Source organism: Homo sapiens, chromosome 12 (genome assembly GCF_000001405.40).
Source record: "Homo sapiens chromosome 12, GRCh38.p14 Primary Assembly".
Lineage (NCBI taxonomy): Eukaryota > Metazoa > Chordata > Mammalia > Primates > Hominidae > Homo > Homo sapiens.
This window is the reverse complement of record NC_000012.12, coordinates 25,228,398-25,244,552: the sequence shown is the minus strand read 5'-3', so window position 1 is coordinate 25,244,552 and position 16,155 is coordinate 25,228,398. Positions and strand designations below refer to the sequence as shown.

The following is a 16,155-nucleotide window of genomic DNA, read 5'->3' as shown; positions in this document are numbered from 1 at the left end:
GAAGGTCATGGAGTAGAACTTCCATCCCAAGCAGATGAGGATTTATTTAATCTCAAAGACCTCCAGGAGGGGACATTCCCCAACTGTCCTTGTTAACTCATTTTCAGAACATATTTATTAGCATATTTTACATGTAATTTGGATCTTCATGTTAAATTTAACATCAGTGGAGATGGAAAATAAGCATATCGCCTTGTCTTTGAAATAGCCCTATATTGTTAGATTGTTTCTTAGGCTTCTTTACCCTGGGTTAAGCAGTCCTAATACTTTAGCATTTATTCTACATCTAGTGTACTAATTTAAAAAAATCAGTTCTGAAAAATTTCTAAGAACTTTCTTCAAGTTCCAAGCTGTGAAATCTAGAACAGGTCAAAGTGCCTTATTAACGTACTGTACTGTGTAGTGTCTTGAAGAGACACTTTGCGCTGAGGCAAGTTCTGAGGGCATTGGGTGGCCTTGGGAAGATATTTATGCAGTTTAGAACCTGGAGAATTGATTAGATAACTAATCATAAGGAAACGTCACATATTTTTGGTACTATAAAAAAGTGGAGAAATAATGCCTATTTGCAAAGATTTGATTTAAACATAGAAACAACTTTATTTGGCTTCCAATTTTAAGAATTTACAGCAGTAAAGGGGAACAGTCTAATTGAAGTAGACTGCCTATGCAATAGTCTCTGTATATTTACTTTTGACAAGTTAATTCAATGTGTACTATAGTTTTGTTTCTTTGAAGAGGTTTGAATAGTGCACCCATTTTAATCTGTATTGCAAATTCAGGGTTACTTGGCAGACTCTACTATTTAAATCAGATGTAAAAGGAAGTTTTAATATAATTCACTTTATGCCTGAAAGTTTTCCTGGGATTTTGGAAGGTGATTTTACTGGAAATGCTGTCTGTCTTCCCTGAAAATCTGAGAAATTCCATTACACTTTGTTTCCAATCAGAGGTCATGAGTGCTATATGAGTATATACAGCATGACGTCATGAATGTGATAAAGTGGGTTAGGAAACCTTTTGCTAATGATTGTTAAAATGCAATATAAATGTTGAAGAAATAAAGCTAACAGTTAAGCCTTTATTTGGGCGGAAGGCTGAAAAAGTTTATAAACTTAAACCTATAACTCTGCTTATGATTTCTGCCAAACCAGAAGACTTGACTCTGGGAAGCATTGGTTACCTGTGAACTTTGAAACTGACGGTCCCTGACGTAGTTTAGTCACCTGGGAAAAGGTATCTGAGATTATCTCTTATCTCCCAAGTTACAGTGAGTCTCTGAGGGAACTGACACATTACATTAAGTTCTTGGTGTAGTTAAACTGTAAGAAAGGCAGGAGAACTTAGTAGTTAAATAGTTGGTTAAATGGAAATGCTGACTCCATGTTATTGTAAAAAGTTAAAAATTTAGGAGGATATGGGGATTTCACTGCCATTGCAGGTTTTGATTGGTATTTACCAATCCGTGTGGGTCAGAGAGAAAATTAGAAAGGATATGACTGCACATTTTGGAATTATTAGCAGTTTTTCTACATTTAAAATGGAAATAAATTTTTTAAAAATTTAAATCAAGTAATACTGTATTTTTTGGTGATTTAGATTTTTCAAAATTTACACTAAGAGATAGTAAGGAGGGTGGCTATTGTTTCTTTCAATAATGTCTCTGAGAGGTTGTAACTCATCTAAGGATACGTAGCTAATAAGTGGTAGGATTTCAATTTAAATTCTCTGAGACCAAGTTAAGTAGAATTTGCACTGTACTCTTGTATAACTTTTTAAAACTGAAAATTAGCTATCTTTCAAATTAAGAAAATATTTACTAATGGAGACTAATTCAGATTTGTAAGTATACCAAAATTTGAACTTAGCCTGCTATCTAATGGCAACTTAGTGGCAGAGGTATGATGTAAAATCATTCAGGTATGACACATAGATGGAGTATGTTTGTATTCGAGGCTGTGCACATAATCACCTTTACTTGTATTGTGAAGTATATATTGTTATCTTTTATGAAGCCCACTAAAGAGATAATGAAATACCTCGTTATTAGGGCAAGATTATTGAAAACTCAAAATAGCCCCCAAACACAATACTTGGCTAGAAATATATACCTTTATAGTTCAGAGATCATTTATTATCAAAACCCTGAAGTTTTTTTTCTAAGGTAAAATTTGGTGGAAGAGGAAAAGTCTCGTTTTAAAAAAATGTAGGTAGTTACAGAGATCAGAATGATTAGTTGATCACTTACCAAATATATATTAAGTATCTACTGTATATAATATGCTAGTAAGAATAAATATAGCAGGAAGTATTTTTTCCCAGGCTCTAATTGTTTGACATCAGCATGCTTTTATTGTGGCACTTATAATTCAGTTCAAGTATTATGCCCCTCTTTGATGGAACAGTTTCCTATTCAGTAAGGAAGACCAGATTAATCATTGGATTGGTTTGTTTCATCTTTAGTGTTCTGAGCTGTAGAGTATTTATTTACCAAGGTTTATTTTAATTTTTATTTTATTTTTATTTTTCCATGTTCATTGTAGAATTCATTTTACCTACGAATGAAGTATGTAGATTATAGAGAGAAAATTTGTAAAATTAAACTGATACTGAAGACTGGTATAAGAAAAGCCTTATGTAATTTGTAAGCTGCTATTCTTCTGAGTTTATACATATATCTTTAGTAATCAATGAGGGATGGTTGGGTGACTGCCCTCCAGGGGACATTTGGCAACATCTGGAGATGTTTTTGGTTGCCACAACTTGGGGAGAGAGTACTGCTACTGGCATCTATTGAGTAGATGCTATTACTTTAAATGGCAAAGCTGCAGTTACCTTTGCACCAACCTAATATTAAACTTCCTGCAGTGCACGGGAAAGCCCCCACAACAGGGTTATCTGACCCCAAACCTCAATGGTGTTAAGATCCAAACCTTGATATGTTAACCTGTAGCTTTAAACATCCTTTAAATTGTCAAATTCATGTCCCTGACATAAGGTTTATGTTAGATTTTCAAGTATAACAAAGATTTAAACTTTAACTTTTGTACGTTAATGATATGTTAGCTTACTCCAGTCTTCTATTAAAACATTCTGTTTTTAAAATCAGAGACACACAGCAATTTTATAAATCATTTCTCTTCAAGGCTGTGAAGCTCTCCCCACTTTTGTGAGTGCCCTCTACTGGTCAAATTATTTGCTTTATAACAAGTAACAGTGAAATCCTAAGTTTGTGTAGTTTCGCTGTTTAAATTATGGGTGGCATCAATTTATAAATATATTCGTTTTATTTAAAAGTCTTATATGATTGATTTCGTATCATTTTTGCTCTCTGCTAATATTAATATAAAGATTACTGTCTGTATTAGTTAGGCCTAACTAAGTAGGTGAGTATAGTGAACTAAGAAAGGAAACGAGGCAGTATATAAGAAAATAGGGTGGTTCAGTTGTTAACACTTACTGAGCTTACTTTGTTGAAGGGACTAAAAGGCAGCAGTGTGGCTCTCTGAGCTTCTTTGCATGCACTCAGGAGCTGCTTAATGGAGTCCAAGGCTTGGTGGTGTGTTACAGGGGATGATAGGAGGGTCCTATTCAGAAGTGGCAAATTGTGAAAGTGCACATTTTGTAGAGTTTTATAGGACTGTAGAATAGTTGTGAGCACCTGATTTTTAGAATAAACAGAAAACTCAGGTACTGTATTTAGGTCAAATTAAGAATAAGTATTTATTAAGACCTGAATATAAAACTTTACTGGTCATGGTTTTTTTCTACCTTGGGTTTTTATAAATCCAAAGATTTAAAAACATACAAATGGAAGTTGGTAATGGAATTAAGTGAAAGGAAAAAATGATTTTATGGTTTGGAATCTCCTAAGATTCTGGTTTTAACAATACAACTAATTCCTTAATCCTAGAAATGTTCTTCACTGCCCACTTTGTACCATGCAGTCTTCCTGTGGGCTAGAGATACACTGAGGCGCAAAACAGACCAGATTCCTGCCTTCATGGAGCTTATTAGTTTTAGGTATCTCTAGATTTCTTGTAATACCTATTACAATGCCTGCACATCAGTTCATTCATGTGGGTTCAACGTAGTACTCAGTACATGGCAAATTCAAGTTTTACTTTTCGGAACTTCATGGATTTTTTTCCTCAGAATATCTTTTATCCATAATTGGTTGAATCTGTAGATGCAGTACCCATGGATATGGATGGCCCACTTTATTTTGAAGAGCAGTGTTTCTAGGCAATCATGCTAATTATATATGACTTAATTTAGAGGCTTTATACTTAAGAGCATTACATTTCTGGCGTCTCTTAACCATTATTATTTCATAATGTGTAGGTTATGGAACAGTTAAATTATTGGGATCTTAATATAGAAATTAGTAGAAATAAGCCAGATATGGTGGCTCATGCCTGTAATCTTAGCACTTTGGGAGGCTGAGGCTATTCGCTGTACTATTTTTTACTACTTTTCTATAGGTTTGAAATTTTTTCAAAATAAAACATTGAAAAAAGTAAGGTAGGTAGTGTGTCCCTCCTTAATCCTTTCAAATATTTTATTTTCACTATTTCTATTAATTTTTTTTTTTGTTTTTGAGATGGAGTCTCGCTCTGTTGCCCAGGCTGGAGTGCAGTGGCGCGATCTTGGCTCACTGCAGCCTCCACCTCCTGGGTTCCAGCCATTCTCCTGCCTCAGCCTCCTGGGTAGCTGGTATTACAGGCATGCACCACCACACCCAATTACTTTTTGTATTTTTAGTAGAGACGGGGTTTCACCATGTTGGCCAGGCTAGTCTCGAACTCCTGACCTCGTGATCTGCCCGCCTCAGCAGTGTCACTGCTTCTAGACCGTTTTCAAGGCACAGAGCTTAGAAATGCATGTTACTAAGAAATCAAGAGTTAACTATTTTTCACCTTCTTTCTCCCGCAGTGAGAACCCTGGTTCTACCCTGTTTCTCCTTGTGTAAATTTTAATGCTAAACTATACACTTGTGAAATAAAAATGATAATGTCATTCTTAAATTATGGATCTTGCAGTGTTATCTAAGTAACATAGATTGAGTGATTTAACTTTAGGTTTCCTTATTTGTGGAATTTGGATAAATATTTTTCACCCTTGAGAAAAGTGAGACTCCTTTCTCATCATCAGAGTATCCTTAAACCATTAAGGCAAACATTTGGGAAAAAACTGAGCTATCTGGCTGCATAAAAATTAAGTTTTCTTTAACAAAGATAGAAGACAAATGAAAACCTAGAAAAACCATTTGGTTCAAGTAACAGGAAGCTATCTTATATATGAATTAGAGAAAAGCAAACACACAAATAGAAAAAAAGGGATGGGGGGTACTAAAGATATAAATAGCTTGTCTACCAAAAAAGAAATAAAATAAATAACATGAACATATAAAAAGACACTTACTTCATGAATGTGATGCAAGTTCAAACAATAAATAACATTTCTGTACTTTCATATTGGCTAAGGTTAAAATGATAACTGCTAGGAAGGGTATGGAGAAGTGTGCGCCTTGCACTGTAGTGGGAGTATAGACCCTCAGACTTTATGGAGGTCAGTCTGGAAATATGTTTCAAAATGTAAACTACATGTCCTTTGACCAGGTAATTCAACTTCTTGAAATTTATCCAAGGATTTAATTGGATAAATGTTTAAGATGTATATATAAGAATGTTTACTGCAGTGTTGTTTATGATTTTAAAAAAATGGAAATCATCTTCATGTCTACCAATAGAGAATGGGTGAATAAATTATGGTATGTCCATATATACAAATTACATAGTTGTTGGAAATATTAGGTAGATTTAGATATACTGATGTTCAAAAATGTCCATTATGTAAGTGAAGCTGGGTCACAGCACCTTGTGTTGAGTATGATTTCATCTAGAAACAAAATTACTCCCTCATCCTTTGTTGTGTTTTAGTTTTTTAAAATAAGCTTATACCATTGGGCTGGGGGAAAAGTAAATACTCGTTTTGGAGAGAGAAAAGGGCACTAAAGTTTCAGATACCGTTAGATTATTTCATGCTTATTTTTCAAGCCTCAATAAATTACATAATTCACATGTAGTCTTGGATTAAGGAAATTGCTATTAAGGCTAAATAAATAATATGAGAGGTATATAATATAAAATATGAACATTATATTGGCATTAAGATTGGATCCACGGTCATTCCAGCCTCTCATTCTTACCTGGACTTCAAGTGATCACTTGTGGGCAAATGCCATCTGACTTGAACAGGTTACACATGTATGCTCATTATATCGTTATTTTCAAAATTTGTCATATAAATTTTCCTTGAGTTCATTCAGATTTTTGAACTAGTTTTTTCTCTTGGGAGTAGTACACACTTAATTCTCTCTAGTACTAAGCTAATGTTCACCATTCTTATAATTTTAAGTATCCAGCATTTAGTAAAGAAGTCTTTGTTTTCTTTATCCTTACTTTTAGTGAATGTCTTAGTTTTTAATTGAAAATTCTGCCATGAAAATAAGCTCTTTAACATCTTCACTCCCTAATCAAAACAGAAATCCTTCATAGCCTTCAGTTGTAGCTATCCTTCCCTGTGATTTGTCCAGCTCCATTATATTTATTTTGAAATATGGTGACCAGTTTTGCAAAATTATTTCAACTGTAGGTGCCCAGTGATTTTGTAAGGAGAAGATACTGTTTCTGAACAGTTCTCAGTAGCCAGTGGCCTGCCCCTACTTTTTGGCCTGCGTGTAGTATATAAAATAATGCAGTTAACTTTTTATAGCACTTTTCATTTTATAAAGAGATTTTCATGGTCTTTAATATTAATCTATGTATAAAGTCCTGTATGCAGTTTTACCTACTTTCACAGCTGAAGGAACAATAGCTTAGAGAAGATGTGAGATAAAGTAGTTTGCCCAAGCCCATAGCACAAATAAGTGAAGTTCTTCGGCTGTCCATGGATCGAAGACTCCCAAGTCTATCTCTAGCCTGGACTTCTGTCCTGAGCACCAGACATGTATGTATATCAAGATGCCTGCAGGTCATATCCACCAGGACAACCCATGAGTACAGGGAATTCAACATGCCCAATATCACTCATCTTTTCCTTCGCCCTCCCCTTTGTACTCATCCCCTGTCGGTAAGCTCTGTTATTTTAAAAAATTGAAATGTATTCACATAGCATACAATTTACACTTTTCAAGTGTACATGGTTTTTAGTATATTCACAAGGGTTGTGCAGTCATTACTACTAATTCCAGAATGTTATTATCACCCCAAAAGTCCCACATCCATTAGCAGCCACTCCCCAATCCCTTCTCCCACCAGCCTCTAAAAACTGCTAATTTTTCCATCTCTGTGGATTTGTCCACTCTGATTATTTCATATAAAGAGAATCGTACAGACGTGGCCTTTTGTGTCTGGCATCCTCCACACAGGATGATATTTTCAGAGTTCGTCTATGTTTTTGCTTGTTGATCATTCCTTCATTCCTTTTTCTGGCTGAATAATACTCTGTTATATGGATATACCTTATTTTGTTTATCTGTTCATTTGATGGGCATTTGAGTGATTTCCTCTTTTTGGCAATTTTGAATAATGCCACTATAAACATTTATGTACACGTTTTTGTGTGACCATATGTTTTCACTTCTCTCGGGTGTATATCTAAGGTACAGTTGCTGGGTTATATGGTAGCTCTGTCTTTGACTTTTTGAGGAACTGCCAAGTGGTTTTGGTAGTGATTGTACTGTTTACATTCCTACCAACAATTTTACCTAAGTATTTCTCAAATCTATTTAATCTTTTCGGTCCATACTGCTGTTGCTGCCTTAGTTCAGATTTTGTCATTTCTTGTAATAATTCGTAGCTCATCTCCCAGTCTCTGCTCCCCTCTCTCCCTCCCTCCCCCTTCTTCTCTCTCTTATTTCCACCCATTTTTAACATTTATAGAAGTCAAAAGTCTAGTTCAGAAAGCAGAAACCATACTAGATATTTCAGCACAGAGAACTAATTAGGTGTTGGAAGACTGAAAGGCAAAAAAACACTGAAGTAACACAGTAACATCAAGAATGGGCACTACTCCTAAGATTCAGGGAATGCTGGGAAGATTTGGGGTTTATCAGAACTGGAAGCTCAGAGGAGGGGCCCCTTGTCGCTGAGGCTTAATCCCTGCAGAGGTGCCTTTGGCTGCTACTGGTGAATCTGAGTGGGTATGATGAGTCAGTGTCTGGGAAGGGCCAAAACATTTTGTCCCTTTCTATAATTTGTCATGATAATGCTAGTAATGAATCTGATCTCCCTTCCTATTTTAAAAACCTTTTAGTGATTTTGTATAGGATGAAGTTTAAAACTCCTTACTTAATATACACATGACCCTCCGTAAGCTGGCCCCTGCTTGATTGTCCAGTTTCACTTCTTGGTGCTTATTCTAAGGCCTCTAAGCCTTAGAGATCCTCTAAGCCTTTGAGATCCCCAAACCCTGGACTGCGGACTGGTACCCACCTGTGTGGCCTGTGAGGAACTGGGCTGCACAGCCGGAAGGAGGTGAGCATTACTTGCCTTAGCTCCTGTCAGATCGGCAGCATTAGATTCTAATAGGAGCGTGAACCGTGTTGTGAACTGCCCATGCAAGGATCTAGGTTGCATACTCCTTAGGAGAATCTAACTAATGCTTGATGGTCTGAGGTGAAACAGTTTCATCCTGAAATCACCCCCAACTCGGTCCTTGGAAAAATTGTCTTCCACGAAACTGGTCCCTGATGCCGGAAAAGTTGGGGACCGCTGTTCTAAGCTAAAGTTATATGGAGCTCCTTGGTTCTGTGTCCTCAACATGCTGTTCTATGTTTTTTACATTCTGTTTGCTCCTTCCTGCTTGGAATGTCCTTCCCCTCCCCGTCTTTCTTAATGCATACAAAGTTGATCTCTCCTGTGTGCCACCATTGTACTTCGTCTTGCATATGGTGTTACATTCATTTTATTTTAATTATTTATTTACGTTCATGTCTCTTCCACTCACCTTAGTTGCTTGAGGTCAGAAACTATATAATGTGTGACACGGAATGTGACACCTAGATTTTCAATAAGTGTTTCTATGATACAAGGGAGACTGATGTGGGTAGATGGGAATGAACTCATCAACCTCTGTTTACATACCCTAAATTCCCTGTTTCTTCCCTATTATAATTCTGACAGTCTACAACCGTCTTTGATGGCTTATAAACGGAAAGTGCGGAACACATCATTCTACAGTGAATTTAAATAACCTTTCGGAAGAGTAACGTAAAGTACTTGAGCATTAATTGAGTAAAAGTTTCTCATCTTTTCCTACAGGTGTTATTAAGCAGTATGTAAAAAGTCCTTACAATACTTAATACATTAAGAAAACATACAATTTCAAGAGGAAATCCCCGAGTAATACATTATTGACATTTTCAGCAGTTCTAGTTATATTGAGAAGAGCATCTCATGGAATTGGCAGAATGAAGATGGAGATTAAATGAGATGATGTTTGTAATATGCTTATGACAGTATCTGGCATATAAGTAAGGGCTCAGTAAATGTTGACTGCTGTAATTACTATTAATAGTAATATGATTACCTTTAGTAAAAGTTATTAGTTTCTTTAGGTTTTTTGTTTACTACAATATAGTAAACAAAATCTATACTTGGAATGTATATATTGTTTTGTTTTGATACATGGAATATGTCTCTGTGTCAGAGTCACTGCCTGAGTTGGAAAACCCATACTCGAGTATGTTAAAAGGTGAACACACTGAATAATTTAGTTATTAATTATAATGGAAAAATGACAAACTTGATGTTCTGGTTAATGAGGTTATCTTATCTTGAATGAGTTAGCTTTTAAATTCCTCAAAATAAAGGCATTTAATAAACCAGGAAACACTTCATTAAAAAAATTATGCAAGTCAGTGTAAAAGAAGATTAAAATTCCACATGGGCAAAGGACACACGTTGGCGATAAATATGCAGATAAGAAAAAAAACCTATATAACATTATTACTCCTCAAAGAAATTGGTATGAAAACAATAAAAATGTGTAGCTTATCAAACCAACAAAAATTTAAAAATATGAAATCCATTTTAAGTAATGATAAAATGGGTGCACTCTTAGTGCTTTATAGAATAGTAGTATAATGAACCTCATGTGTGTACCAACCAGCTCTTTCATATCTTAACATTTAGCAACATTTGATTTAGCTCTTTCTTTTTTCCAAGATAGAAAAGTTAATATTGTTGAAGACTCCTGCATTCTTTTCCCTAGTCTTATTTTCTTCCCTCCCATAAATGTGTTAAAATCTCTGTGTGTATTGTTTTGGTTGTATTTTTACATAAAACTTTACATATTATATAAAATTTAATTGAAGGTAAAATTTATTAAATTATTCTTAATATATATTGTAATTTAAAAATTAACAGCTTCATTGTCTTGATAAAATTTATGGTATCTTAAACATGTGCTTGTTTTTCTAAGAGAACATTGAAACATAGATTTTAAAACAAATTGTTGAAAGATTAAAAAATCTGCCTTTGCACACTGTTACATTGAAAGTGGGGCATTTGTCGTGAACATTCATTTCAAATATGTAGTATCTTCAGAATATTTGAGAAGGATTTGTATTATATAATTGAAAAATCTGTTAAATTGTATTTATGTTAACTGCTTAATTCTAATAAAATTTCCATTCATTTTTTAGTATCTGCATATATTTACATCAAATGGATTCATTCACTTATTTAAGAGGCAGTACTAATTACCTATAGCGTTCAAGACTGTTAGGTAGAGGGTGTGTAGTGGTGAGTACAACAGGCGTGAGCCCTACCAACACGGAGTTTAAAGCCTAGTAGAGGATATAGACTTAAACAATTTCACAAGTAAATACATAATTACAAATTATAATACATGCTATGAAGGAAACATAGGAGGTACCAGAGAAGGAAGAGTGCTTTGCATTTTTATTTTTAAGACCGAAGAGTGCTATTGGAGGACTTTGAGCAAGTGAATGACATGATCTAACCTACCTTCGTTCATTCATTCATTCATTCATTTTCTTCCTTCCTGGCTCAAGCAGTCCTCCCACCTGAGCTCCCCAAATAGCTGGGACTACAGGTACACACTACCACACCTAATTTTTTTTTGTATTTTTTGTATTTTTGATGGGATTTTACCATGTTGGCCAGGCTGGTCTTGAACTCTTGACCTCAGGTGATCCACCTGTCTCGGCCTCCCAAGGTGTTGGGATTATAGGTGCCTAGCCCATGGTGCCTAGCCCTAACCTACATTTATAAACTATCACTTGCTGCTGTGTGGAGACTATATTGTGAGATTAACAGCAGGGATACCTGCTAGGAAGCAATTGCTGCAGATTGCCTGAGACAAAATAGTTATCATGGACTAGGGGGATGGTGGTGGTGGTGGTGGTAGGTGGTTGGATGTAGGATATATTTTGAAGATAGGTAAATGGTGCAAGATTATGGGTCAGTTTTAAATGCTTAAGTAAATTTTCTTTGTAAGACATTTTAGGATGCCATGTTAAGAATCTCTTTATAACTGTCATTTAAAAAAAAACCACATATTTTCTTAGCATAATTTCCCATAGTAACATTACTATGTCAAAGGCTATGAACATTTGAATGACTTTAGATAAATACTGTAATTGCTTTCCAAAAATATTGTGCTTATTATGTCACCAGAAATGTTTGAATTCTGTCTACAATTCAGTCTTGCCAGTATAGTACATTTCATTTAGAAAAATTTTTTACTATGTAGATGGAAAAAATAATATTTTAGCTGGGAGTGGGGGGACTATGGGGAATAACTTTCCTTCATTTAATATTTTATTGTGAGTTAGTTTAAGTTACTTTATTTTATCGTAGTTTCCTAAGGCTACAAATTAGTAACCTTGGTAACTTATGTACCTAATTTAAAAGTTTACTTTTTTGAAAGGCTGGAAATACTAATTAAAAACGTAACACCTTCATCCTTGTCTTTGCTCCATTATTAACTAGTTTCATTACAGAATCTCTGTGTTTTAAAATCAGATGGGTTTTCATAACCAGTACTTTCTCAGAGTGGTAAATTTAAAAAAATATATAAAGAGAATAAATAATATTTGTTGAGAATACTTCAAATAATGTGAAGAGTTATTAACTTACAGCAGGAGTTGGCAAACTTTTCTATAAAGGGCCATATGGGTCTTTGTCACAAAGTCTTGGGTTTTTGTTTTTGTTTTTTTAAACAGCTATTTAACTATTCCTAGCTAATGGGCAATACAAAAACAGTGGGCAAGATTTGGCCTGTGGGCAGTAGCTTGCTGAAACCTTATTTAGACTCTAAATTTTTTGAAAGAGTCTACATTGATGCATATTTTTTTTTCTTCCTCCAAATACAGTTGACCCTTGAACAACATGCGTTTGAGTGACCATGGGTCCACTTGTGATACACGTTTTTTTCCCAACCAAATGCAGATATGGAGGGCTGACTTTTCATATACCTGGATGTTCCTGGGCCAACTGTAGGACTAGAGGCTGGGGGGGTCTTGGAACCAATGCCGTGTGTATACCAGGGATGACTGTTTCTTATGGCCTGACCTGAAGTTGGAACAGAATCTTTATTAATATATAATTTTTGTTGCGTTTGTTTTCTCTTTATATTTATCCATTCTTTTTAGATCGTATTTCATTTAACACTTTTTCTTCTTTAGTTTTTACCAAGTTGCACTGAAAATAGCTCAGTGACTAATTGCACTTCTAAGAGTGAGGACCCTAGTTAAAATTAACTCTAAAAATACTGAATTTTTAACCTAAACCTTTTATTTCTAATCAACAGTATTATTTATGAGTAGGTTATAGATTACTTTGAAACGGAATGTGTCTCAGAACTTTGCTATCGATATTTTTAAGGTCTGGTAGGGAAAAGATAATAGGAATGAGATTTATCAGTGAATAGGGGACTGCTTTCCCAGTTTCTCGGTCGCACTGGTGTATTCACCATGGAAGCATCTTATGAAATATGTACATAAACTACTAATATCCCACATTACAGGTTGACTATTCTTTATCTGAAATGCTTAGGACCTAGAAGTATTTTTGGATTTTGGTTTTTCAGAGTAGGGATACTCAGCCTACATTGGTAAGTAAAGAATGTGAGGTGACAGGCTGGGCGCGATGGTTGACGCCTGTAATCCCAGCACTTTGGGAGGCCGAGGCGGATCACCTGAGGTCAGGAGTTGAAGACCAGCCTGGCCAATCTGTACTAAAAATACAAAAATTAGCTGGACACAGTGGCACGTGCCAGTAGTCCCAGCTACTCAGGAGGCTGAGGTAGGAGAATCGCTTGAACCTGGGAGGCGGAGGTTGCAGTGACTCGAGATCGTGTCACTGCCCTCCAGCCTAGGCAACAGAGCAAGACTCCATCTCAAAAAAAAAAAAAAAAAAAAAAAAAAAGAATGTGAGGTGGCAGCAATAGGTAGGAAGAGTCTTTGGTCAGCTTTACATGCTCTGTAGCCATGCCTGGGTAATGGGTTGACTCTAAGACTCTGTGCTTTGCTCCCACCTCCTGCTTTTTCATTACTCTTTAGAATGGTTTTTAATTTGTGATCTATAGGAGTTCTTTCAAGTATTTAATAAGAGAATAGGCTAAATTAAGTAAATGTCAACTGAATGCTCAAATCTCTACTAAAGAGCCTCTTATTTAGAAAATAAATATCCATCTTTTTTTTCTGACTGGTGAGATAATTAATTTTTATTACAGATGGTTTGGAAAATACCATATGCTTTAAAAGATAAGCACAAAATTATAGTCTAATATGTAGGTTTTCATACTTTAAAAAATTGAAAACCAAAGAAAAACATTTAACATAGCATCTAGTACAAAGAAAAGAGATAAGCAAGAGATAAATGTCTTTTTTGGGACAGAGTTTTGCTGTTGTTGCCCAGGCTGGAGTGCAATGGCACAATCTCAGCTCACCGTAACCTCCACCTCCCGGGTTCAAGTGATTCTCCTGCCTCAGCCTCCCGAGTAGCTGGGATTACAGTCATGCACCACCAGGCCCAGGTAATTTTGTATGTTTAGTAGAGATGGGGTTTCTCCGTGTTGGTCAGGCTGATCTCAAACTCCCGACCTCAGGTGATCTGCCCACCTTGGCCTCCCAAAGTGCTGGGATTACAGACATGAGCCATCGCACCCGGCCAAGATAAATGTCTTTTAAATTATCTCCATTAAAGACATAACCTTTATAACATTTTGATGTATATATTACCAGTTTTTAAACACATAGTAGATTTGTATAAATACATAAACACATATTATTGTGATCATGCTGCACTTAGACATCTTTATATTCTCCTTATACTGTAAACATTTTGAAATACTTTACTAACAACATTTGTAATGACCATTCTTTCTCTCTTTCTCCCTCTGATAGAATGGTCTACAGAGTAATTCATAAACTAAACATACTTTAGAGGCTGGGCGCAGTGGCTCATGCCTGTAATCCCAGCACTTTGAGAGGCTGAGGCGTGCAGATCACGAGGTCAGGAGTTAGAGACCAGCCTGACTAACATGGTGAAACCCCATCTCTACTAAAAAAACAGTACAAAAATTAGCCGGGCGTGGTGGCGTGCACCTAGAATCCCAGCTACTCAAGAGGCTGAGGCAGGAGAATCACTCGAGCCCAGGAGGCAGAGGTTGTAGTGAGCCGAGATTGCACCACAGCACTCCAGCCTGGGCGACAGAGCGAGACTCCATCTCAAAAAAAAAAAAAAAAGATACATTAATACTATAGCCTACATGTGGAACATTAAGAAAATAATTGCTTTTATGTTTATGCTTTATACCTGTTGTTAGCCCTGCTTCTTATTTCATGATTTCATGGCTTCACATTGTAACATCCCTTTACCATATTTTTTGAGGACTGTTTTGGCAGAATGTGTGAAATCTTGAGCAGAAGTATTACCCAAAAGTCAGAAGAAAATCAGATTTTTATTTCAAGATTCTGTTAAAGTTACCCACTCCCTTCTTTTACTTAATCTTATAGTTGCAGTTCTCTCTCTTTTTAGAAAAGAAAAAAGAGGCCCCTCAGGATTTGCAGATGAAACAATATTGCTCTTTAGAGATATCCATCTGGCTGTTAGATTATTTTTCCACAGTTTTCAGAAGTGGATGAGGCCATTAGAATCTTGAGTATTGCCCATTTCCTTATGTGTGCCTTTGACTATAGATAAAATAGATGCATGACAATTATTTATAAGTTGATTGATTTTTCTTGTCATTTAAATCATCTTGAATAATAGAGTTGGTAGAGCTATCCCATTTTTGAAATTATTTTGTTTTGTCAATAACTTTTTGTTACCAGCATGTACACTTGCATTGTTGACTCTCCATATAATACCTTTAAAAAATTTTTTTTTGTGGTAAAATATGCATAACATAAAGTTTACCATGGTAGTTTTCTTTCATTTGTTTTGTTTTTGTTTTTTTGAGACGGAGCCTTGCTCTGTTGCCAGGCTGGAGTGCAGTGGAGCGATCTTGGCTCACTGCAACCTCCGCCTCCCGGGTTCAAGCAATTCCCCTGCCTCAGCCTCCTGAGTAGCTGGGACTACAGGCGCCCGCCACCACGCCCGGCTAATATTTTGTATTTTAATAGAGATGGGGTTTCACCATGTTGGCCAGGATGTTCTTGATCTCCTGACCTCATGATCCGCCCACCTCGGCCTCCCAAAGTGTTGGGATTGCAAGTGTGAGCCACCGCGCCTAGACCATGGTAGTTAATTTTAAGTGTTCAATTCAGTGACCTTAAGTGTGTTCATAATGTTGTGCAACCATCACCATGTTGTCTAACCATTAGCACTATCTGTTTTGAGAACTTTTTTTTATCATCCCAAATTAGAATTCTGTACCTGTCAAATAGTCCCCAGTAATCCTCCCTCCCCCAGCCCCTGGTAATCTGTAGTCTACTTTTCGTCTTTTTGAATTTGCCTATTTTAGGTTCCTCATATAAGTGGAATTATGTGGTATTTGTCCTTTTGTGTTGGCTTACTTCATTTAGCATAATGTTTTCAAGGTTCATCTGTGTTGTAGCATGTATATACAGGTTGAAGCATCCGTTATCCAAAATGGTTGTGACCAGAAGTGGTTTGG

General features: G+C 36.0%; 1 protein-coding gene across 5 annotated transcripts in view, besides 1 other annotated feature; it reads left to right on the top strand.

The window, feature by feature from the left end:
• The window catches only part of KRAS (KRAS proto-oncogene, GTPase), a 45,684-nt gene that overhangs the window by 6,377 nt on the left and 23,152 nt on the right, over positions 1-16,155 (top strand). The window lies entirely within an intron of this gene.
• Positions 371-540: an enhancer, noted in NCBI's record as "experimental_26705 CRE fragment used in MPRA reporter constructs". NCBI's record gives its function as "activates a minimal promoter by MPRAs in K562 erythroleukemia cells, with activity observed for the introgressed 12:25397032 variant allele {active_cell/tissue: K562}" and the evidence as "EXISTENCE:reporter gene assay evidence [ECO:0000049][PMID:34662402]".